Genomic DNA, 25,707 nt, shown 5'->3' with positions numbered 1-25,707 from the left:
ACCAACAAGGTGCCCGAAGATGGTGTAAAAACACAGATTTGTCCCACCTGGTTTCACCCCACTTTCCTCTCTGGTCCCAGGCCTCAGGGTCTGGACATTTCTGCCAGGGAACATCTGTTCTGCAGAGCAGCCAGGACTCCCCCTGCCACCCCCCACCAAGGAGTGGTTCTAAGTTAGCTTTCTCATAAACGGTTCTCACATGGAAGAAAAGCAGCTGTCGCTGAAGCCACGTCAATCTGAGCGGTAAAAGGTTTGGGCAAAAACATATTTTATTGTTCTTGCTGTCAGAAACATAAAGATTGAAGGGGCATGTGACTCGGTAATTGCTGTGGACTTTTTTTCCCCCTTGACAATAAACATAAAACTTAAAACTGTATTAAAATCATTTGACAATTTTTATGCTCAAAGAGCCTGGAATGAATAATGGGTTTTTTTTGCATCTAAAATGCACTCTCTCGTCAACCTATAAAACTGTCAGAAATAAATTCATCAAAAGCAGATTATATAATTAAAAGGCGCTATTTGTGTCTCTGCCCGGTTGGGATCAGAATTGTTTGTTTGTCTCCCTCTCCCTGTCTTTTAATTTTTTAATTTTTTCAAAGCTCTAGAGGAGACACCCTAGAGCTAGTCTGCTTTGTCCGGGGGAGATGACAAAATGAGGGTTTCCTTGGGCAAATGCAGATTTCCTGCTGCAGCCAGCCCCCACTATGTCGATGCCAGTAGAGGACAGACCGCCTCCCAGCCAGTGCAACCTCCTGGTGAGCCCAAGAGGGCAACATCCTACGCTGGGGAAGAGTTCCTTTCCCTGACCCAGTAGCAGAGAAGAGAGAGTGAGACAGAGATATTGAGTGTGCACCCATCTCCCTCTCCCATTTTCTTCTCCTTCTGAGCACTCTGGGGAGTCACGCCTCCCAGTCAACTTGCTGTTGGTTGAGGTGAGGAGACTTGTTCTTCCCAATGAGGTGTGAGCATTGGTGGTATGTGTCATTTTGGGGCCAAAGCAGTGAAGTGCTGGTCCTAAATCCTCCAGTACTTTCATACTCTCCAAGGCAACCAGGGAGGTGTGTTCCCAAAGCTGCCACTACAGGAATGTGGAGCCTCCTCCAGCCTGGATCACTGAGTCACTGTGTGGAGGACTTTGTCCTGGAGAGTCACCTAGACCAACAGTAAGCTTTGTGTGTTAAGCCACCAAGACCGGTTTGTAACCTCAGCATAACTGAGCCTATCCTGTCTGTTTGCAAATGTAATCGGTTTTATTGCTATTCAGGGATGGTGAGGCTAACAGATCAGAACGTGATTACCTTGAAAAGATGGTTTGTTATACTCATAGATCCCTAGAGAGAAGCCACGCCAATGCCATGGACGTGTCATACCAGGAAGCACCTGTCAGTTTGGAAGCAGAGTTGAGGGGAGGGCAGGGAAAATGTGTTTAAGAGCCCTTGTGGTGGTTTCCACAGGAAAGAGAGGGTGAGCAGGCTCAGCACTGACTAGCGTGAGTAACATCAGCAGGCTCTGGGGGTAGGCGCTGTCCCCAGGGTCGGGAAGCGGGCCCCGGAGTGATTAGGGCAGGTGGATAGTGCCTCCGGAGTGTCAGAGCCCCACAAAGGAGGTGGGTGGGTAGATGGCTCTGGATTGGCTGGTCTGCATTTGAAAGGGGCTCACTCTGGGGCCGGTTGTTTGCTGTCTCTAAGGATTCTCTAATCTCTCCCCGGGGAAGGGCAGTCCCTCTCCCTCTAGTGGCGGCAAGTCCCCAAGCTATTTTGAAACAAAAGGTGTGGTTAGTGTTTAGTACACCGACTGAGCCAGGGGATCTTGGTGGTGTCCCAGCAGGGAAAGGGCCAAATGCCCACTCTCATGAGTCACGGGATACCGAGTGCGAGGAGAGAAGTGGCAGAGCGCAGGTGGAAGCATGGAGGTGGTGGAGGTAGGAGCTAAATTTGGGGATGGTGAAGAAAGCAGAATGCCGGAACTTCGGGGACCCATGGAAGAGATGGTGAGGTACAGGGACCTGAGGCTGAGGCTGGAGTCCAGGGTCTGGCTTTGGTCTTAGTCTGAGAAGCTGTGGGACTGTGATCCCAGACTTTAACCCAGAGGGAGGAAACCTGTAAGAAGTTGGCAAGAGGCTGGCACACCTAGAGGAGCACAGCATATTGTTTTTTTTTTGTTTTTTTTTTTTTTGACGGAATCTTGCTCTGTCACCAGGCTGGAGTGCAGGGCACGATCTTGGCTCACTGCAACCTCCAACTCCCTGGTTCCAGCAATTCTCCTGCCTTAGCCTCCTGAGTAGAGGGAGTACAGGCAGGCGCCGCCACACCCAGCTAATTTTTGTATTTTTAGTAGAGATGGGGTCTCACCATGTTGGCCAGGATGATCTCGATTTCCTGACCTCTTGATCCACCCGCCTCGTCCTCCCAAAGTGCTGGGACTACAGGCGTGAGCCACCGTGCCCGGCCGCACAGCCTGTTCTTAAACTTGGGTCTGCCCACCAGGAACCGCCCTTATTCCACCAAAGCACAGAAACCTCCCACAATGAGACCAGGTGCCCAGATGGACCTCCTGGCCTCCAGGACTCACTGACCAGGCTCTCTTGGGGGCAGGAAGCCCTGGGGAGAGCCTCCCAGGCCAGCCCCCAGTCAGGCCCCATGCAGCTACCTTAATGTCTTTGAATGCTAACTCAGGGCTCTGGAGTCCCCAAATTTCCCCACCGACTGGGCTTACTTCGGTAAGGAGACTGAGCTGGCCAGGCCTGGGGTCATGGAGGCATGAAAAAGGAAGGGAAACCCATGCAAGATGAGAAGAGACAGAAGCAGAGATGGGGAAGGAGGGAAGTGCTAAGTGATTAACATTCTCTGAGCCTTTACTGTGTGCCGGGGACTTCACTTTCATGGCCCCAGGGAATACAGAATCTTAGCCTCATTTCACAAATGAGAAAATTGGGGTTCAGAGAAGCTCAGCAAGTGGTGGCCGCTTGTCCAACATAACACAGCCACACTAGGCCGTCTGGGTCCAAAGTGTGTGTTTGGAAAGCAAAATATCCATCTGTGGCTCCTCGGGCTAAGTGGAATGTTTGGCTCCAACTGAGCCAGAGAAGTAGGAACACATGGATTTGCTCTCAACTCGGGACAGAGGAGACGGGCCAGGCAGGCGTGGAGGAGACCCTCAATGCAGAGGCTCTCAAGAGGTGCTGCCTTCTTCTTCGAGGACGGGATGTTTCTGTAAGCCTTTCTTATCAGGCTAAAGAAGAATCCTGCTATTTCTATTTTGCCAAGCGAGGTTTTCCTGCAAAATGGATGCTGAGTGTTAACAAGTGCCTTTTTATCAGCCCTGGTTTTTCCCTCTTGGCCTATTAATATGATGAATTATATTAATAGAGTTCCTAAAATAGAACTGTCCTTGCCTTCCAATAATACACCCTACCTGGTCATTGTGGAATATCCATTTAGTATATTGCTAGATTCAATTTGCTAATATTTTATTTAAGATATTTGCATCTATATTCATAAATGAGATTAGCCTGCAGCCTTCTTTTTTTTGTGCTATCTTTTGTCAGGTTTATTTAGTTTTGTAAATGAGTTGGAAAGGCTTCTAGTTCTGAAAATAGTGTGGATGAGATATCCCCCAAATCTTCCTGCCACAAACGCCTAGAAATGCCCAATACAGTATAACAAATACTTGAGCCTACAGAAAAGTAGAGAAAATTTCCAGGACCAAGAAATAAAGTAGGAACTGAAAACCAAAGAGATAAGCACATGACCTGTCACTGCAGCTGTCCAGGGAAAGGAGAGAGAGGATATTTATACCCACATAGGCACAGGAGACAAGGCTTTGAGTGTGAGTTAGATGAAAAGCTAGACTTGACATCCCTGTGGCTTGTGTTCTCAGTGAGGGGTAGACTTGGGAAAAAACCTATCTTTTGATATAGGAAGAGAAGAGAGAAAATACAGAGAATCAGAGAAACAACATTCAAGGAGAAAATAAGAATGATCCAGATTGATTTAAAATAGTCATAATTCACCAATAAACACACAATTCACTCATGGTTAGGGAAATGCAAATCAAAACCACAATGAGATGCTGCTTCACACCCATTATGATGGCTACTATCAAAATACAGAAACTGGCGGGGCGCAGTGGCTCATGCCTGTAATCCCAGCACTTTGGGTGGCCTAGAGGGGTGGATCACTTCAGGCCAGGAGTTCAAGACCAGCCTAATCAACATGGTGAAACCCCTGTCTCTACAAAAAAAAAAAAAAAAAAAAAAAAATACAGAAATTAGCCGGGCATGGTGGCGGGCACCTGTAGTCCCAGCTACTTGGGAGGCTGAGGCAGGAGAATCGCTTGAACCTGGGAGACAGAGGTTGCAGTGAGCTGGGGATCACATGACTTCACTCCAGCCTGGGCGACAGAGTGAGACTCTGTCTCAAAAAAAAAAAAAAATTAATTAATTAACAAACACTGACAAGGATGTGGAGGTTTAGCTGCTATGGAAAACAGTATGCTGTTCTTCAGAAAATTCATAGAACTACCATATGATTCAGTAATCTCACTTTTGAGTACATGTCCAAAAGAACTGAAAACAGGATCTCCAAGAGATATTTGCATACTCTTTTTTTTTTTTTAATTTGAGATAGGGTCTCGCTCTGTCGTCCAGGCTGGAGTCTGGTGGTGCAACCTTGGCTACTGCAACCTCCACCTCCCAGGATTAAGCAATCCTCCTGCCTCAGCATCCCAAGTAGCTGGGATTACAGGCGTGCGCCACCACGCCTGGCTAAATTTTGTATTTTTGATAGATACAGGGTTTTGCCATTTTGCTCAGGCTGGTGTTGAACTCCTGGGCTCAAGTGATCCGCCCGTCTCCGCCTCCCAAAGTGCTGGGATTACAGGCGTGAGCCACCGCGCCTGGTCTGCACACCCATCTTCATAGCAGCATTATTCACAACGGTCAAGAGGTGGAAGCAAACCAAATGTGCATCACCGAATGAATGAATAAACAAAATGCGGCATTTATATAGAATGGAATATTGTTCAGCTTTAAAAAGAAAAGCTTTTCAAAGCCTTAAATAGGAAGGAAATGATGACACATGGAACAACATGGGTGAATCTTGGGACATTACAGTAAGTAAAATAAGCCAGTCACACAAAAAAAAGATAATTACTGTATGATTCCACTTATATGAGGCATCAAAAGTAGTTCAATTCATAAAGACAGAAAATAAATAGTGATTTTCAGGGGTGTCGGGAAAGGGAATCGGGAGTTTTTGTTTAATAGGTACAGAGTTTCAGTTTTGTAAGATGAAAAGAGTTCTGGAAAAGAGTTCTTCAGTGGTAGGGATGATTATACAACAGTGTGAATGTACTTAATGCCCCTGAGCTGTACACTTAGAAATGGTTAAGAGGGTGAATTTTACATTATGTGTATTTTTATCACAATTTAAAATAATAATACGTTTTAAAAATATTCACAACTTAAGAAGCCCAGTGCATCCTGAAAAGAATAACTAAAAATAAATTCATATCTTGATGCTCCATAATGAAATTGTAGGACAACCAAACAAAGCAAAGAACTTTAAAAATAATAAGCGAGAAAAGAAAGATCAATAGAGAATGGAAATTGGACTGACAGCAGACTTCTGGCAACAAGAAAAGCCAGAAGACAATGGAATGATATTTTCAAAGTGATAAGAGAAGAATGACTGTCAACTTAGAATCTCATCTAGCTAAACTATCGCTCAATGATAAGGGAGAAACAAATGTAATTCTCAGACTGCTCCTGAAAGAACTACTACAGGGTTTATTTCAAGTAGAATGAAATTGAACACAGAAGGAAAGAGGGAGATACAAGAGCGATGGAGAAGAAAGAAATGTTAAAATAAGATTTGGGCTGTATAGGTCAATAATAATGATGGATTTTGGAGGTATAAAAATAAGATAGGACTAAAACACCATGTAAGAATACCATGTAAGCCAAAAAAGGGTATTCTGAATTGTACATGTTTATAGTTTTAAAGGAGGAGGGTCGTTATTATTGGTTAACATTAATATTTGTTAAGTCAAGTATTAATGTTACAATTTTTAATGTAAGTTTTTAATACATGCAGTTCTCCAATAAAAGAGGCTTCTCAGAGAAATGACGGATTCTAGTAGTAGGGGTAGAAATATATAAAATGAATCTGAGCATCTTGTAGTGCCAGAAAGTTGAAACAATTTAAGCAACAAAATAAATAAAGGAGTAGTGGATTATAACCCAAAGTTTAAGATATTCATAAGCCCATTCTGATACGAATAAATAATTGAATTAATAAACAAATTGGGATGCTTGGGGTGATAGATACTTTATCTACCCTGGTGTGACTATTTCGCATTGCATGCCTGTATTAAAATGTCTGCTATAACCCATAACTATATAGACCTACTATGTACCCACAAAAATTAAAAATTAAATTAAATTAAATAAACAAATGAGAGAAAAGAGATAAATCTCCCATGCAGAAGAATTCCAAATAATTTGTGTAAATAATCTGCCCTCAAGGAGGTGAAGTGTGACTCCCCATGCCTTAAATGTGGCGTGCATGTAGAAACTTCCTTCCAAAAAGCAGAGTATGAAAAAGGGGGGAAAGGAGTAACTTCACAGGGAGCAAGATGACAAAATTCCTTCATACAGATGATCAACATCAACAGAGTTGTCATGTTGATAGTATTTACCCTGGATATGACGTGATGCAAAAATGACATATTACCTCTGTGGTTTCCCCTTCAAAATCCATAACTTCAGTTTAATCATGAAAAAACCCAACTGAGGGATATTCTACAAAACAATTGACCTTTACCCCTCAAAACTGCCATCAAAAATGAAAAAAAAAATGAGAAACTATCACAGTAAAGAGGCGCCTAAGGAAACATAAATGGTATCCTGAGTGGGATCCTGGAACAGAAAAAAATTACATAAATTTTAAGGACATATGAATAAAAATGTATTTTAGGTAAAAATAACAATGGATCAATATTGGCTCATTAATTGTGACAAGTAAATTATACTAACCTAAGATGAGAAAAATAGAGAAAACAGTGTGGGGTTTCTGAGAACCTCTATTCTGTCATAATTTTTCTGTAAATCTGAAATTATTCTAAAATTAAAGGTTTAGTCAAAAAAATCTTAAAGGTAAGCACTATAAGACTAGAAATGAAACGCAGAGGAATGAAAGGGAGTATAAATTCAACTACTTCAAAAGAAGAAAAGAAATGAAGCACATGAAAACTATGGTAAACAAGAAAGTGCAAAGTAGTGTAATAGACTAAATATAGGCATATCAGCTTACAATAAATATAAATGGACTAAACTTTATGCATTTAAAATCAGATGTTCAGACTGAATTTTAAAAATAAAAATCCAGTTATTTGAGGACAAAAATATAGAAAGTAAAAAAGAAAAGTTATACAAAGAAAATACTAGCCAAATAAAAGTTGAGGGAAAAAACAGACTCTAAGGCAAAATTATCATTAGAGACACATCATAAATGACAATGATAAAAGGAACATCTCACTTATAATATATAGCAGTTGTGTTATATTACTATGTACGCACCTAACGCCAGTCTCACAAAATATATGAAACAAAAATGTACTAGATTATTTTTAAAATTGACAAATCCATTACCATAGTGGAAAATTTTAAATAAAATTAATCAATAATTTATAGATCAAGGAAACAAAAATTTGGCAAGAGTATAGAAGATTTAAATAAGACAATACACTTGATATAATGAACAAACATAGAATCCTGCAACAATTATAGAAAACCCATTCTATATTTCGAGTACATACGAAATGTTTGCAAAAACTGATGGATACAAGGTCAGAAAGCAAATCTCAACAAATTTCCAAGAACTGTTAGCACACAGATCATTTCTTCTGACCATAATACAATAAAATTAGAATTAATAAAAGATAAGCTGTTAAACCCTATGTTACAGCATAGTTGTAAATAATTTATGGGTCAAAGAAAGAATAATTATGGATAATACAAATAGTACATATCAAAATGTATGGGATGCAGCTAAAGTAGTACTCGGAGGGCATTTACATTCGACAAGAAAAGAGATTAAAAAATAATAAGCTATGCACCCAACTCAAGAAATTAGAAAAAGAACAACAGAGTAACCCAACGAAAGAAAAATGAAGAAAACGATAAATATAAGAGCAGAAAATAATTAAACTTAAAACCAAACAATAATAAAATCAGCAAAACCAAAGGTTAGTTAAGAAAAAGAGAAAGCACAAATGAATGATATTAGGAACTGACAAATGAAAGAAATACAGCAAAAAGTAATTTTTAAAATCACAAAAGAACATTTTGAACAACTTTATGCCAATAAAATTGAAAATGGCCAGTTTGCTTGGAAAATGTGATGTATCAAAACTGTCTCAGGAAGAACTAAAAACTCAGAAAAAACCTGTAATCACCAAAAAATTGAATCATTAATGTAAAATCTAACCTATCTACCATGCAAAAGAAACCCCACCAGGCCCGGAGTCAACTTTGACCAAATATTTAATTAACAGATAATCCCAGTTGCACCACTCAGGGTTCTCCAGATAAACTGAACCAATAGAATGTGTGTGTATATATTCTCTCTCTCTCTCTCTGTCTCATACACACACAGAGAGAGGGGGAAGGGAGAGAGAGAGAGAAAGAGAGAGAGGGAGAGAGAGCATGCCAGAGATGGAGACACAGATTGAGAGATTTGTTATAAATAATTGGCTCATGAAATTATGGAGGCTGACAAGTCCCAAGATCTGAAGTCACCAAGCTGGAGGAGACACAGGAGAACTGCTAGTGTAGTTTCAGTCTGAATGCCAGCAACTTAAGACCCAGGAAGAATCAATGTTTCCATCAGAGACCAAAGGCAGGAAAAAATTGATGTCCCATCTCCAGGCAGTTCGGGCAGGGAGTGTGCCCTCTTATTTGTGGGAGAGTCAGCCTTTTTGTTCTATTTGGCCATTCAGCTGGTTGGATGAGGGCCACCCACATTAGGGAGGGCAATCTGCTTCACTCAGTCTAGTAATTCAAATGTTAATCTCATCCAAAACACTCCCACAAACCCACCCAGAATAATGTTTGACCAAATATCTTGGCACCCATGGCCCAGTCAAGTTAACACATAAAACTAATCATTATATAAGTCTTAAATTATCTCAAAGAATAGAAGAAGAGGTCGTGTTTCCCAACTTTTTCTAGGAGTCTGGTAATACCTTCATTCAAAAATCAGACAAAGACAGTAAGATAAAGGAAAATAGAACTTATCTCATAAACATAAAAGCAAAAATCATGGATGAAATATTAATAAACAAACTCCAGTATTATTAAAAAATGTGAAGTTGGATTTATGCAAGGAATACAAAGATAACTGAATGTAAAGAAATTATGGAATTCACTTCATTAACAAATTAGCAAAGAAAAAACATAAAGCTATTTCAATATATCTAGAAAAGCATGTGATAAAGTTCAACATTCATCCATGGCAGGGAATACTCTTAACAAAAAAGGAATAGAGAAGATATAGAGAATCTATGAAAAACTTATAGCAAGCATTCTATTTGATGGCAAAATTGTTAGAAGCATTCTCTTTAAAATCAGAAGTAAGACAAAGATATCCTTTATAACTACTTTATTTAACAGTGTAGTAGAAGTTGTGGACCACACGATAAGACAAGAAAAAGAAATATAAAATATAAAAATTGAAATATAAAAATATAAAAATTGAAAAAAACACAAATTTTATTATGTGCAGATGGTATGCTTGTCTACATAAAAAATCCAACAAAATCATCACACAAACCATTAGACTATACAGAAGAGCTTGAGCAAGTTTGCTTGATATAAGACCAATATACTAAAGTGAACTTAACTATATTTAATTTTATGTTCCAGTAAAAACAGTTCACATTTTTTCTATCATTAATTTTTTAATTGTGGCAAAAACATATAAAATGAACCACCTGAGCCCTTTTTAAATGTACAGTTCACTATCTTAAGTACATTCACATTACTGTGCAATAGATCGCCAGAACTTTTTCATCTTGCAAAACTGAAACTCTATACTCATTAAACATGTTCCCCATTTCCCCCTTCTCCCAACCTCTGGGAACCACCATTCTACTTTCTGTCTTTGCAAATTTGACTTTTGATACTTCATTTAAGTAGAATCATACAGTATTTGTCTTTGCGTGAATGACTTGTTTTACTTAGCGTAATGTCCTCAAGGTTCATTTATGTTGTGGCGTTTGTCCGAATTTTCTTCCTTTTTAAGACTGACTGATATTCCACTGTATGTACACGCCACATTCTGTTTATTCATTCATCTGTCAAACATTTAAGTGGCTTACCCCTCTTGGCAATTTCATGTAGTGCTACTATGAACATAGGTAGGCAAATAACTCTTCAAGATCCTGTTTTCAGTTCTTTTGCATATGAACTCAGAAGTGGGTTTGCTGGATTATATGATAATTCTGTTACTTTTTTGAGTATCCACCATACTGTTTTCCATAGTGGCTACACCATTTTACATTCCCACCAACGGGGCACAAGGGTTCAATGTTCCCCACATCCTTGTCAGTGCTTGCTACTTTCTGTCCTTTTGATAGTAGCTATCCTAATGGGTGTGAAGTGTTGTCTCATTGTGGTTTCAATTTCTCTAATGATTAGCGATATTGAACATCTTTTCATGTATCTACTGGCCACCAAATTTTTAATTTAAAAAACATTATTGAAACAAAACCTATAAGGTACCTAAGAATAAATCTAACAAGAGCTGTGTTTGAATTATATAGGAACCAGGCATGGTGGCACATGTCCCTAGTCCCAGTTATAGGAGGCTGAGGTGGGAGAATCCCTTGAGTCCAGAAGTTCAAGGCTGTGATGAGCTGTAATCACACCACTGCACTCCAGCCTGGATGACAGAGCAAGACCCTATCTCTAAAATACATTTTTAAAAATTATAGGGAAAGTTACAAAGATTGTTGAAAGACTCAAAACACCCTACATAAATAAAAAGATGTATCATTTCATAACTGGAGAAGCTCAACATCATACAATTCTCCCTAAATAAGTTCAATATAATTCCCCTCAAAACCCCAACAGAGATTTTCATGGAATTCATACACTGATTACTATCCAGAATATCTAAGGAACTCATACACACCCATAAAAAAATAGGGAGGCTTTCTGTCTCTTTTATACTCTGGTACAAATTAAATGGTTCAGAAAATATCTTTTTGCTTGGCTCTGAAAGATGCATTGGGCCAAGTGATTTTTTATCCATATTCTAAACTTCTATCTTAGTTATTATTTGTATATTTACATTTTCTGTTTTATAACTTTATATTTTCCTAGGAAATTCTTCATTTTGAGATTTTCAAATTTATTCATGTAATATTCTTTAATAATTTGAAAATAACCTCTTCATCTATGGTCTCAACTGCTTTCTCATTTATGATACTACCTTCTTTTTTATATTCTTCTTGATTCATCTTACCAGAAAACTGTTTTCTTTTATAGATGATTCTACAGAAGTAGCATTTGGGTTTTAAATCACATCTGCTTTTAAAATTTTCCGTATCATTAATTTCAGATATTGCAATGGTTTGAATGTGACCCCCACTTAATCCCCAGTGAGGAGAAGGTGGGACCTTTGAGAGGTGATTAGCTAATGCCATTGTCATGACAGCAGTTTAGTTATCACCGGAGAGGGTTCCTGATAAAAGGATGAGTTTGGTTTCCTTCCCTTCTCTTTCTCTCATGTGCTTTCTTGCCCTTCCACCTTCTGCCATGGGATGACCAGCAAGAATGCCCTCACCAGCCTTAGACTTGCCAGCCTCTAGAACTGTAAGAAATAAATCTCTGTCCTTTATAAATTACCCAGGTCTCAGGTATTCTGTTACAGCAGCACAAGATGGACTGTATTAGTCAAGATTCTCTAGAGGGATAGAACTAATGGAATATATATATATATATGAGTTTATTAAGTATTAACTTACACTATCACAAGGTCCCACAATAGGCTGTCTGCAGGCTGAGGAGCAAGGGGAGCCAGTCGGAGTTCCAAAACTGAAAAACTTGGAGTCCTATGTTTGAGGGCAGGAAGCATCCAGCACGGGAGAAAGACGTAGTTTGGGAGGCTAGGCCAGTCTCTCTTTTCACATTTTTCTGCCTGCTTAGATTCTAGCCACTCTGGCAGCTGATTAGACCCACCCAGATTAAGGGTGGGTCTGCCTTTCCCAGCCCCCTGACTCAAATGTTAATCTCCTTTGACAACACCCTCACAGACACACCCAGGATCAATGGTTTGTATCCTTCAATCCAATCAAGTTGACATTCTGTATTAACCATCACAAGTCCACCCCTTGTCAACTTGAACCCATACACATGGACTAAAGTAGCTATTATCTTCATTAATTTCTTTCTTCTGTTTTCGATTTTGCTCTTTTTTTTTTTAATTTCTTGCATTAGATACTTAGCTCATTTATTTTCATTCTTGCTCACTTAATAATAAAAGCAATTAAAGCTGTGAATTATCCTATGAGTACAGGAATAGCTGCATCCCCTGCGTGTTAATGTGTCATTTTGTCATTGTCTTTTTTCTAAATATTCTGCAACTGCCGTGTGGTTTCCTGTCTCACAAAATAATTGTTTAGCAGAGTGATTTTTCATTTTCACAAAGATGTTTGTCTTACGCTCTTTGTAATTAATTTCTAGTTTCATTGCACTGAGGTCAGGAAAATGTGGCCTGTATAATTTCTTCATTTGGTGGAAGTATTGTGTGTCTTCTTTCTGGCTTAGTTAACAATCAATTTTAAAAATATTTCATGGACATCTGAAAGCAATGTACATTTCTTGTTGAGGCAAAAACCTCAAATATATAGTTACCAAAAATAAGCTTATAGATAATATTAATTGGATCACTCATGTTTTTATATATTGGCTATCTATTGCAGAAGTGAAATACTGTGAGAAGTTTGATGATGCCCCCCACTATTGCTCTGGTTTATACTCTGGTACAAATTAAATAGTTATACTGGTTTAATCATTATAATATCGAACATTTCTCTGCCACACATTTCTACTTAAGGTGGCACTTTTAACTTATACTAAAGTTCTGCACATATATGGCTCTAAATCTTGGCTTTGTTTTCTCATCTACTGGCCTGTCTCTTATCTGGTACCTATTAGACTTGAATGACTATAGGGTTAGTATCTCTCATGGCAATTTTTTTTTGTAATTTCTGGTTACTCTTATTTTTATGTATTTCATGTAGATTTTAGAATCAATTTGTCTAGTTTTTCTTTAAAAAAAAGCATATAGACACTTTCATTGGAATTACATTAAATTTATCAATTAACTTGGGGAGAAATTACCCTTCATGACAGCACGTCTTCCTACCCCAGAACACTGAATGTATTCCCATTTGTTCAAACCTTCTTTAGAAGTTTCAGAAGTGTTCTAAATTTTTTCTTACAAGTTATGCAAATTTTCTGATAAATTTATTTCTGAATTTTTTCTGCTATGATAAATGAGGTATTTTATTCCGCTCTACCTTCTAACTGCTTGCTTTTGTACACAAGAACTGTTCGCATTCACATATCAATTTGCCCACTACTATCTTGTTGAATTCTCCTGCTGTTTATAGTAGTTTTAAATGTGATTCTCTTGTGTTTTCTGTATATATGACCATATTGCCTGCAAATAATGTTGTTTGAGTTCCATTTCTAATTTTTTATCACTTTAATTTCTTTCTTTTGGCAAGTACCTTCAGCTCAATGTTTAACAACAGTGTCATAGCAGATATTCTTGTCTTGCTCCTGATTTCAGTGAGGAAACTTTAGCAGGGATACTTCTGGTGCCTTCTCATTAAACATGATACTGACTTTTGTCCAGAGACAGATGTGCTCCATCTTATTAGGGAAAAATCCACCCATCCCTATTTTATTAAATGTTTATATCAAAAATGAACGTCAGAATTTTGTCAATGGCTTTTTGGTGTCTATGAAGATGTTAATGTAAGTTTTCTCCCTACATCTATTACTATAATAAATTGTATTATATGTTCCCTAATATTACATAATTTGTACATTCACGAAATAAACATCATTTGGTCATAATGTATTTTTCTTTTAATGTGCTGTAGATCTAGTTTACCTCAGCTTTATTTAGGATTATTTGCATTGTTTTTCATAAGTGACTGTGGTTTCTCTTTTTTGTGCAATCTTTCTTGCATTTGGGTGTCAATGTTCCATTTGCTTTATTGAAATAAGTAAAAATATTTCCCCCCTTTTTAAAGCTCTGATAGTTTAAATAATATTGTAATTATCTGCTTATTAGAGGCTTGGTAGAATTTCCCTGTGAGATAATCTGGGCCTGGTATTTTTGGGGAGAGAGCTCTTCAGCTACTTGAACAATTTCCATATGGAAATGAGTAGATTTTTCCTCCTTTTGAAATCAGGTTTGGTCATTCACACTTTGAAAAAAAAATGTCAAATTATTTTATGTTTTTTTAATGTATTTGCATAAAGTCAAGCAAAGCAGTTTCATGATTCTTCACTTTCTTCTCTTTCTGTGGTTATTTTTCTTTTATAATTTCCTATTTTGTGTATTTGGGCTTCCTTGTCCATTTTCTTTATTAGGTTATCTTGCAGTTTATCTATTTTATTGTTTTCCTCATGTCATTAGTTCTATTTTTCTGCTTATTAACTCATAATTTCTTCTATTATCTTTATCAATTTCTTGCTTCTGTCCTGTTTTGTTGTTCTTTGTCTAACTTCTCAGATCAGATGTTTAATTTTCTTGTTTTCATCTTTGTTGTTTATTGATAACATTTAAGGCTTTTCCTCTGAGCATTACTTTATTTCTCATAGGTTCTGATATGTAGTTTTCTATCTTTATCTTCTAGATTTCCTGCAGTTTCTATTTATATTTCCTCTTTGACCCAAGTACAAGTTTATAGATAATTTAAGAAATTTCTAGTGGTAGAGAATTGTTGACTTTTTTTGTTTTTGCTTTTTTCTCATTTCATCTTTCATTTCAAGTTTTAGTGCATTGGGTAAGAGTTTTCCAGTAAGCATTCTCTTCTTCTCTCTAAAATAACAGAACCTTAATTTTGAGCTTGGCACATAGCTTCTCAGAATAAAAATGTTTCCCAGCCTCCCTTGCAGCTAGGGGTGGTCATGTGACTAAGTTCTGACCAATGGGATGTGGATGGTGATATGTGGCAACTCTGGGTGGGGATTTGAAAGGGGAAAGGGATGTGCTCTTCTTTTATTATTACTCCATTTTGCTGCTTATAACAAATATCTTTGCAAACAAATCTAACATCTAAGACTGGCATAGCAACAAGCTAGAAGGAGTCTATGCTCTCAGTATTTTCCCAGAGCCCTGGGAAACTTCATGGAGCAGAGCAAACTTTGAATCACATGCTTTTGACTATTACATGACACAGAAATATTTTTCTATTGTTTTAGCCATTGTTATTTTGGCCCTCTGCACACATAGCCAAATTATTCTATAATGAATACCATTGCCAACAGTTTTTTTTTCCTGTCTGAATACTTACAGGATTTTCTCCCTTAATCCTTGAAATTCAGTTTCACCTGGCCATAGGTCTCTTCATTAACTTCAGCTAATGTTCAAAGAGCAATTTGATTTAATGATTCCTTTGGCTATTTTATTTCTTGGATCTTTCCTCGAGGTTATCTTTTCACTAAGCACATTCATCTTTTATTCTTTTCTTATGAATTATGGGGGGTTTCTTGGTACCCATCTTTTAAAGGACTCCACTCCATTTTTCTGCGTCTTCAATCTGTTATTTCCTGCTTCCATTGCCTTCTGAAATGTAACAGTTGCACTTTTCAGCTGAAAATCATCTTTTTCAATCTCAGAGGATGCCTTTTTCAGGTATACAATAAATACCCCCTCGAATCTTAATGGGCACACAAATTGGAGATTTTTCTAAAGATTTCTGTTGATTCTGGTAGGAAGTTTGTCTCAAGGGAAACATTTGTGTTGATTCCTTTATGAGAACTGCTGAGTCTTTTCACAGGGCCCATGGCTTTCCTCCCTTCTCTTATTCTATATTTGTCCATCCCTGAGGGTTGAGATGGGAGCCCTGTTCCAATCTTCCAGGCCCAGATGATGGGAGTAGGAGAGGAGGAAAACATTGGAGTTCTTGCTCTTTGTGAGTTTCAATGTCTAAGGGAAGTAAGAAGGTGAGATGCTAAGGCGCCCATGCCATGGGAACATCAGCGCTTCACGAGTGAACCTGGCTTCTGAAGCTGGGGCAATGTCAAGTGTCTGGAGTGTGGCCCTGCCTCTGTCTCAGGCATGGCCATGCCAGGACCCTGCTGAGGTTGCACCTCCCTCTACTGAGCCAGCTCCAATGCAAGCCGCAGGCTGGCACCTTGTCTCACTGTATGAGGTGCTTCCAGAAATGGCTCCCACTTCCTGCCCTGCAGCCCACCTCATCTGCCTCCCTGTGCTGCGGCAGGTTATGCAGTTCTGAGGGGATCCCTCATGCCTAGGGAAGCCACCTAGCCTGGCAATTAACATGGTCCAGGAGTTAAACGGCCGTGGCTTCAAGTCCCATCTCTGCCACTTATCAGCTGAGTAACTGTGCGTAGTTACTCAGGGATGGCCTCCTGGGCCTCAGCTTCCTCTTGCGCAAAACCTGGTCAGTGACAGCACCTGGTCACAGTGCTGAGAGGAGGGTTCACTCTGAGACGATGCGTGCCACCTTCTCAGCATGGGACCTGGCACGTGGTAGCTGTGAAATCAGTGGAAGCTCTAATTACTCCCCACTGATGGCCCCTCCCTCTCACACAATGTGTCCCACCAAGGCCCAGCCTTCCCCCAGGCAGCTTCCTCCAGCTTCTAATGCATCAGTATCATCCTCACCTGTGTTCCCAGTGGCAAGGGTCCTCGCTCCTCCTCTACTTTAACAGGAGGAGGGAGGAAGCACTTAAACAAAAACGCTCAATTCACCATTGTTTTCCATAGCCTGGCCCGTCCATGCCTCTTTCAGCTCCCTCAGGCCGTCAAGCTTCCTGAGCCACAGGCTTGGCTTCCCATCTTCCCCAGACACCATGGTCTCCCCAGGTTTGAGACCACTCAGCTTAGGGGAGAGAGAGCCTCCGTCTTGCAGCCCCTGGCCCTACAGAACCCCATCTGCTGGGTTCCCCCGCCCCGGCCCTCCTTCCCCGCTGAGCCAAGCTGGCATCAGCTGGAGAGTACACACTCACTCAAGAGGATTTTGCTTCACAGACCAGGAAGATATTTTGGAGAGAGGCTAAGCAAAGAGATGATTGGCAAAGATTTAATCCACCCCTTCCCTTGGTAGCAGTAATGGGTAAGAGCTTAAAGTTAGGGAGAGATGAGACCCAGGGCACATCACAGAGAAGGAAAACAGCAGCAGCAACAACAAACAACCAGTATTTGCTGGGCGTGCACCATGCGCTAAGCGCATGCAATCCACCCTTTCATCTTTAGAACAGTCCTGTGAAGTAGGAGATTTTATTGTACCCATTTCACAGATGAAGGACCTGACTTATCCAAGATCACACAGACAGTGAGTGGCTTGTCTGGGACTCTCTCCCCTGCATCTGTTGGATTCCCGAGTTTATGCACATAACCACTGCTGTAGACTGACTCCCGTTCCAATTACAAAACTTTGGCCAATAGTGTCATATTTGCCACAGTGATCTGTGGGTCATTGAGAGACCCAGGCCCCCATAGAATGGATGGGTGTCCATCACCCTCTAGCCCATTTCCTCTTCCAGCTCCCTCCCTCCAAAGTCAAAGCTGGAATGACCAGCCGGGACCACCCACATCCACTTCTGGCCCCTTCCTCTCCGGCCATAACCGAGAGGATCGCATTCCCAGAGTGCGTGCACACACTGGGGACTCTTCCGATAACATCTGACTTGGCTTTTAATTATTGGGAAATGATTGTTGGTTTACAGAGCAATATTTATCCAGCAAATTGCTAATTAATGCACTGAAAAATGCCAAGTGGTATCAAATATTTGCTTTTATTTGCACTACCAAAATATTTTTATTTTTGGTGAGGCCCAGAATGGATGAGAAGGTGCTGAAATGTTTAAACAGGGTGTGTAAAGTTTAAGCTGAATATTGAACAGGGAGGAGGGCTAGGCTTTGTGACTTTGTGGCTGGGGCTCTGGGGATGTTCTGTGGACTGGACGATGCTCGGAGTTGGCCCTGAGAGCAGTGTGCAACCCTTGAGATATTAATAAGTTAGGGGACCAGCAAGGCACAGATGAGGACCTCTGAGGGGCACAGAGCATCCTCACTGGGGTCCTCACCACCTTCTCCTCCTCCTCAGCTTCATCCTACCCCTCCGTCCTTCCCTCTCCTGCCACCACCACCACTGCCACCATTCCCTCCCTCACCGTCCATTTACTCATTATATACTGTATTCTATATTCCATATTGGATGTGCACCACAGGCTGGACATTTCCCTGCTGCTGGGGAGACAAGTCCCCTCTGCTCATGGAGCACACACTGGATTTTGACACCTATGAAGCAGTAAATACATGAATAAGAAAATGTCATTCAATTTCAGAAGTTATTAAGAAAATAAATCTGGGAAAACAATAAGCAGTCGTCACTTCAAATGAGTTGGTCAGGGCAGGTCTTTGTTGGAGGGAAAATGTCATTTTAGCGGAATGATACTGATGAGCCAGCCACTAAAGGCAATGGGGACAGAACTTTCCCAGCAGCATGAACAGAAAGTGCAGAGGCCCTGAGTCAGACGGAGTAGAGTGGCTGGGAGCAGGGCAGGAGGTGGTGTTGCCAGGGCGGGGGCATTTCATTCTATTTCGCCATGGGGAGCAATTGCAGCCCTGAGGGGAGAGTATCCCCCAGTAATGGGCTTTGTTTACTTTGGAAAAGCTCCCTCTGGCTGTGGGGTAGAGAACTGGGCAGGGGACCAGGGTGGAAAGAGCATGCCCCTTGCAGCTGTGACTCTTTATGCTGCAGGGACCACATGAGACGTGGAATGATTGGACCAGGGTGAGGACTTGGAGATGCAGCAAGGGAGGCTTGGTAGGGGGTGTGGGGGTTGTAGGTGGGATCTACAGCCTTTCTAATGACTGGGACGCAGAGGTTCTAGGTGCCAGGAAGAGGACTGGAGGTCTCGTCGCCACCTCCACGGCCCCCTAGCAGCCATTTCATCCTTGTCCTAAAACACAGCGGCTACCATGGTTGAGGACGTACATGCGCATATTTGCTTTATGAACTGGTCTCACTCAAAATGGCTAACAATGCCATGAGGGAGGTATATTATGCCTGTGTCTCTCACCTGGCCTTGCCAAGCCACTGAAAAGACGGAATGGTGACCAGCAGATGGCTGTTATTCACTTGCTCAATCAACGAGCATGAGCTCACAGGGCTCCAGGTGCATGAGACAGTGGTACGCAGGCTGGGAGCCTTCTGCCTGCACCTGCGTCTCTGAGGGCCCCACTCCGGCCTGGAGCACCTGCTCTTGTCCACCCTTTATTTAGGAATCACCACACCAGATGTTCTACAGAGTTTCCCCCTCTGTCTGGCCCCTCGGTAATGCAGGTATTATTATCCCATTTTACAGATAGGGAAACCCATTTCCTTACCTTTAATCTTGACTTGTCCAATCCTCTCACTCACCAGCTGAATGATCTTTCTAAAGTGTGTACCCAAAGACACCCTGCCTCGCCCTCAGAACCTGGCTCTGCCACTGTATTAGTCTGTTTTCACACTGCTATAAAGACACTACCTGAGACTGGGTAATTTATAAAGAAAGGAGGGTTTAATTGACTCATAGTTCTGTATGGGAGGGAGGCCTCAGGAAACTTACAATCATGGCAGAAGGGGAAGCAAGGCACGTCTTACATAGCAGCAAGAGAGTGAGAAGGGGACTGCCAAACACTTTTAAACCATTAGATCTCCTGAGAACTCACTCATTATCATGAGAACGGCATGGGGGAAACTGCGCTCACGATCCAATCACCTCTCACCAGGTCCCTCCCTCAACGTGTGGGGATTATAATTCTAGATGAGATTTGGGTGGGGACACAGAGCCAAAACATATCAGCCACCAACTCCCACTCCCACCCCTTTCCCCACCACTCCCTCTTCTTTCAGTGCCCAGAGCTGCCAAGCACTTTCTCCAGAACCCTGCCTGGAAGTTTCTCTCCATCCCTTCTTGCCTCACTCCTCCTTCTCCTGCTGGCTCCCATCCCTCCTGCAGGTCTCACGGCTTCCTTGTGTGGGTGGGGTGTATCTGCCTCACCTCTGCGTGGCACAGCCCTTCTTTGTGAACTCATGGGCACTTGTACTTAACCGGCCATGCTGCACTGGGGTGTAATGTCCACGATCACTGGGAAGAAGATCAAGGCTCAGGTGTGTGGCCCTCCTCCCCACCAGGGGAGCTTTTGGAGGCAGGAGGGCTTCGTCAGAGGACCACACATCTGCATTGTGGCTTCTCTTTCTTCTTCCATTAGTCAAATGTGCCCTTAGACCCTGGGACAGCTCCAGTCCCTGCAAAAACCAGGTCCAAGGGGTGGCGGGGGGTGGGGAGAAGAATGTGAGCATTTTGGAGTTTTGAGCTTTGACCTGGTAGGTGCTGGATGTTGGATGTCCAGTAAGACCTGGATGCTGAAGATCATCAAATGCCCCATAACAAGGGGCCCACCCCAGACACAGGTCAGAGGTAAGAGGCCACAAGTCCTCCTGCTGACGGTCCCTCTCTCCTTCTTCCTTTATCAGGGAAGGCACAGCTTCAGCATCAGAAAAAAACTGGAAAGTCACTGTGATTTTGGAAAGGATAAGATTGTAATAAGGGCCTCTCTCCACTGCCCCAGGCCCCTGGACCAGAGGGCACCCCGTGGCCAAGACATCTCCTGGGAGCCACTGTCCAAAGAGATGCTGCCTCCACTTCTATCACTCCAGACCCCAGGGGCCCCTGAGAGATGGTAAGCACCACGGAGGCAGAGACCCCCTCTGCCCTATTCCCTGCTGATGCCCCACTGCCCAGCACTGTGCTTGGCACAAAAATGAATGAATAAATGAATGAGCCCCAGAGAAACTGAGGGGCTTTGCCCGTGTTGCTGAGCTCAGGGTGGGTGGAGCCGCGTGCTCATAGAGGGTGAAGGACCCCCCAGCTGAAGCTGGCTCAGAGCCAGCAGCTGAATGGTGAGTTGGGAGTAGGGGGACAGGTTTTAGACCCAAGCACAGTGTCCAGGGAGAGGGCAGGCAGGCCCAGTGATGACCAGGGGTCAGGACTGGGTTGCCCAAATGAAATGGGGAACGGAGCTTCCCAACACCTCCTGCAGGCATCACTGCTTCTCCTTCCTGGCACTCTGTGTGTTTGCATCTTTCTCTGACTCTGTCTTCCCTCCCCATCTCTTATGCTCTATATGTGGGGTTCTCTCTCTTTTTTTCTGTCTCTCTGCCTGTCTCTTACTGTGTCTCTTACTTGACCTTGATTTTCCTACTTTCTCTCTCTCTCTCTCTCTCTCTCTCTCTCTCTCTCTCTCTCTCTCCTTAACACAAAGTCCAAGTCTGACTCTTTCAGGGAAAAATTATAAACTGCAGCCCTGACACAGCAGAAAATTGTCCAGAGACACAGAGCCCTTGACAAGCAGAGGAAGGAGCCAGCCTTAGGTATAGGGACCCAGGGATACAGAAAGAGTGTCTTCTACAAAGAGCCAGATTCAAGGTCAAAGAGCAAGCAAGGCAGGCCAGGGAAGAGGAGTGGGCAGAGCTTCAGGCACTGGGATCCTGTGCATGTGGGCCCCCGAGGGTCCTGGAAGAAGTCCCTAGTTCTGGGCAGCAGCAGCCCCCCTCCCTCAGAGCCTGTGACTCGCACCCCACTGCCACCCTCTTCCCTGCCCCTGCCCAGACAGCAGTATTCCAGGAAACTCACCAGCCAAGGCCTCTGGCAGCCTTTCTCCAGAAGCTGGGAGCTGGGCTGACCCCTGGGGACCTCCCCAGCAAACCTGATTGAGGATCTGGAGCCAGCCTGACCTGCCCGGCCCTAATTCACTTACTTCCAGGCTCCAGTTCTGATGGATGGAAAGGCTGGGGTGGGACTGCCCTCAGAGACCCCATCACCGGCTCAGAGCTCTGTATCAGCCCTGGGAGGGGGGTTGTTGGGGGATGGAAGAGTTCCTGAGTCTGAGAAGGCAGGGGCTGTGTTCTCCCCAAAGAGGCATGATCCTGGAAAAACCCTGCCCCATGCCCAGGTCATCAAATGCAGGGGTGCCACGTGCAGATACAGGCAAAGGCTCTCCCTAAATCTGTTCCTCTCGGGTCTTCCTCCATCTCCAATGACCAAGCCAGAGATCCAGGTCATCCGGACACTCCCCTCCCTCACCCCTCCCTCACCGCACACCCTTTTCATCACAAAGTGCTGCTCAGTCCCGTCCGGTTCCCTCTGGCATCTGCCCAAATATTCCTGCTGCCACTCCCATCTCTTCAGTCCTGCCACCCATTTTCCTCTAAGTAAACATATTGAGCTTTCATTTTTAAAAATTTAATTTGGAAATAATTTTAAGTGTACAGAAGAGTTGCGAGAACGACAGAGAGTTCCCATATACCCCTCCCCTATCGCCAGCACCTTACATTACCACCGTATATTTGTAAAACTGAGAAACCAACATTGGTTTGCCGCTAGCAGCTGAACTCCAGATTTTATTTAGATTCCATTCATATTTCCATTCTTGTTCTTGGTCTGTGTTGGATCCAATTCAGGACACCAGTGGCGTCTGCTTAGTCTCCGGGCTGTGACCTTGACAGTTTTGAAGAGCACTGGGCAGGCTTGTCAGCTGGGTTTCTCATGGTTAAACTGGGTTATGGGTTTAACTCATTTATGCCTGAGGTTGCAATTTTTTGAATTTTTGCAATCAGACCTTGGCGATGACCTTGAGCAGTAGGATGTAAATAACTCCCACATGCTTAGCGTTCCAATAATGGAACACTAGGCATAAATGGGTCAAGGGAGGAACCACCGAGTGGAAGTGCTCTTCCCACCACTCCACAGCACGGCTATACGAGAGCCACACCACGTCACTGATGATGGCAGAATTAACTTTGACCAGTTGATTAGGGTGATGTCTGCCAGGGTTCCTTACTAAAAGTTACAATTTTTCCCTTTCCCAGCCTTTGGAAACAGAGCTTTTTAACACGCAAAGAACACATCACTGTCCTACTCAACAGCCCTCAATGACTGCCATCCACTTGGGAAAAATCTGAACTTCTTGGTCTCCAAGACTTCAGCTGGCCTTACCCAGACTCTGTTTGCCCCAGGTCAAAACAAAGGTCTTGCCACAGGGCCTTTGCACAAACCATTCCTTCTCTGCTAAATGTTCTCACCCCAACTGTCCCCTGGATATGAGTCACAAGTCGGGGATGCTTTCTCTGCTGTCCTAATCCAAAAGGAGTCTCCCCCATCATTCTCCCTTGGAGCCTGTTTCTTCCTTTGCACTCACAGTTACAATTACACCTTCATTTCATCATTTATTTGCCAAATGTCTCCCCGTGAGGGTAGAGGCCAAACCTGTTTCATTCACTGCTGCAGCCTCTGTTCCTAGTTTAGTGCCAGACACTCAGGAGGATGTGTGCACACAGAAAATATATGATGTTATTTTGCCACTGTTTAGACAGAGGGGACAACTTCAGAATCAGGGGGGCCCTCTGATTCTCCTGCAGATGCAGTGGGAGCAGCTGGGAGCCACCCAGACTGTAAGCTCATCTTCTCTGCCATGCCCCCAACACCTCTCTCTGTGCCAAACATCAGTAAATATACATCGTATGATTGGATAAAGAGGTGACGGGAGGTGGTCACCACAAAGCCCCTTTGGACCAGACTCTAAGTTCATTGTCATCCAGGCCTTCAGCAGTCCTCCTGGGGCGGGGGGGGGGGGGGGTCCCACTGAGGCCTCTGCCCCTTTAACCTTATCTAAAACCTCCCCAGCTCAGCTCGCTTTGCTCCAAGCCCCAGCCCTCCTCACTGTTCTCGAGCAAGCCACCACACCGCCACCTCAGGACTTTGCACTCACTGTTTCTTCTTCCAGAAATGTTCATTCCTGCAGATGCCTGCATGCTTTTCTCCTTTGTCTTTCCAATTCTGCTCACACTCTCACCAGAGCCCTTCCCCACTAATCTAAACAAAACTGTCCCCTTTATCGCTCATTTTTTCTTTAGTGCACTCATCTGCATGTATCCATTTCTTTTATCCATTTATTGCTTGTCTCTTTCGCCTGAAAGGTCAGCTCCACAAGGGCAGCAATCCGGGTCTGATTTCTTCACCATTGAATCTCTAGCACTTAGAATGGAGCCTGGTGCATAGTAGGTGTTCAATAAATATGTGTTTAATGGATGGATGAACCTGCATGACTGGGGAGGGGAGCCCACCAACAGCCTCAGCTGCCACGATGATTCCTTTTTGCCCACGTCTGGAGAGTGATTTTGCCTGGATGCATGTGGGGTCCTTGCAGCCTCCAAGCCACAGACGTCTCCTCTCTTATGCTGTGTGGGTTCCTCCCACAGGACTGAGCCCCTGCCTTCACCTACTCACTGGTTATGCTGCTTCATATCCTAATTGCCTGCTGCTCAGGGGCTCTGACCCCTGTCCAGCTCCTGCCAATCCCCTCTCTTTGTGGGCGTGGGTCTGTTATATTCCCCAACTCCCAGCTGCTGGCCAAGGACCTTCTGTCAGGGACAAGGGGCCCATAAACCTTGGTGCTCGTGTGTCAGCCACTGCCTGCTGCCTGTGCTGGAGCCATCAGGCACACCTTCCAGACCACATCTCCTTAACCTCTGTTTTCTGTCCCTCTAGCCTCCATACATTGGATCTTTGGCTGTCCCCAAAAGGACTGCCCTGTAGCCTCCTGGAGAGGGCTTCAGCCCCATCTCCACTTCACCTAGCCCTGTGCCCTACTTACCAGCCTGGGGCCACAGCAGACCCCAGAAACCAGAGTGATGGAGGCTTTTGGCTTATGCTTAAAGAGTCCTACACATGGACTGGGGAAAGGACCAATAGCCTTGTGGCAGGCGTGGACCTGTTCTGTGTGTCTGTGCTTACAGCAGAAAGAGGTGTCCCTCCCCACCTGTGCCTTTAACCCAGCTCTCCCACTTTCAGGCTGCAGAGGGACCAGGACATAGCAGCATCCGTGACTGTCCTGCCCAGCACAGGCTTCAGGTTGTCCTTATTACATGAGTGGGTTTCCAGGTGTCTTCCCTACTTCTGGCCCTGTGGATTTCATGCTAACTTTGGCTTCCTGAGAATTGATTCTTGGCACCCCTGGAATTTGGTTTAAACTTTCCCTCGGGTCCCTCCTCCAAACTGTAGCATGGCTCAATAGGCAATAAACTCTCTGAAACTTTGCTGGAGGCTCTGAAAGGGCTTTGGCAAAAGGTATTAAAGTGTAAAGTGACACCAGAGAGGCTAAAATTAAAAGACCAACAATATTAAGTGTTGACGAGGATGTGGAACAACTGAAACTTTCATATACGGCTAGTGGGATGGGAAATGGTACAACCCCATTGAAGAACTGCCTGCCAGTATCTACTAAAGCTACACATGTATCTACCTTGTGACCCATCGACTGCACCCCTAAGGATTCATGTAGGAGAAATGAGTTGCACATCCACAAAAAGACATGTACA

The 25,707-nt window shown here is 43.1% G+C and overlaps 1 long non-coding RNA gene across 1 annotated transcript, besides 1 other annotated feature; it reads left to right on the top strand.

The window, feature by feature from the left end:
• Positions 1,058-2,032: an enhancer, noted in NCBI's record as "H3K4me1 hESC enhancer chr9:128908419-128909393 (GRCh37/hg19 assembly coordinates)". NCBI's record gives its function as "activates a minimal SCP1, AML or CMV promoter by ChIP-STARR-seq in naive H9 embryonic stem cells {active_cell/tissue: H9 hESC(naive)}" and the evidence as "EXISTENCE:reporter gene assay evidence [ECO:0000049][PMID:30033119]".
• On the top strand, positions 1,788-24,775 carry LOC105376274 (uncharacterized). The gene is made up of 3 exons (XR_001746581.2): positions 1,788-1,924; positions 20,806-21,011; positions 23,200-24,775. It is a non-coding gene; the product is annotated as an uncharacterized LOC105376274 (long non-coding RNA).
• Positions 24,776-25,707: the final 932 nt, after the last annotated feature.

The sequence above is a fragment of the Homo sapiens genome, chromosome 9 (assembly GCF_000001405.40).
Source record: "Homo sapiens chromosome 9, GRCh38.p14 Primary Assembly".
NCBI classification, from domain to species: Eukaryota; Metazoa; Chordata; class Mammalia; order Primates; family Hominidae; genus Homo; species Homo sapiens.
The sequence above is the reverse complement of the archived record's forward strand: the minus strand, read 5'-3'. Positions and strand labels throughout refer to the sequence as shown.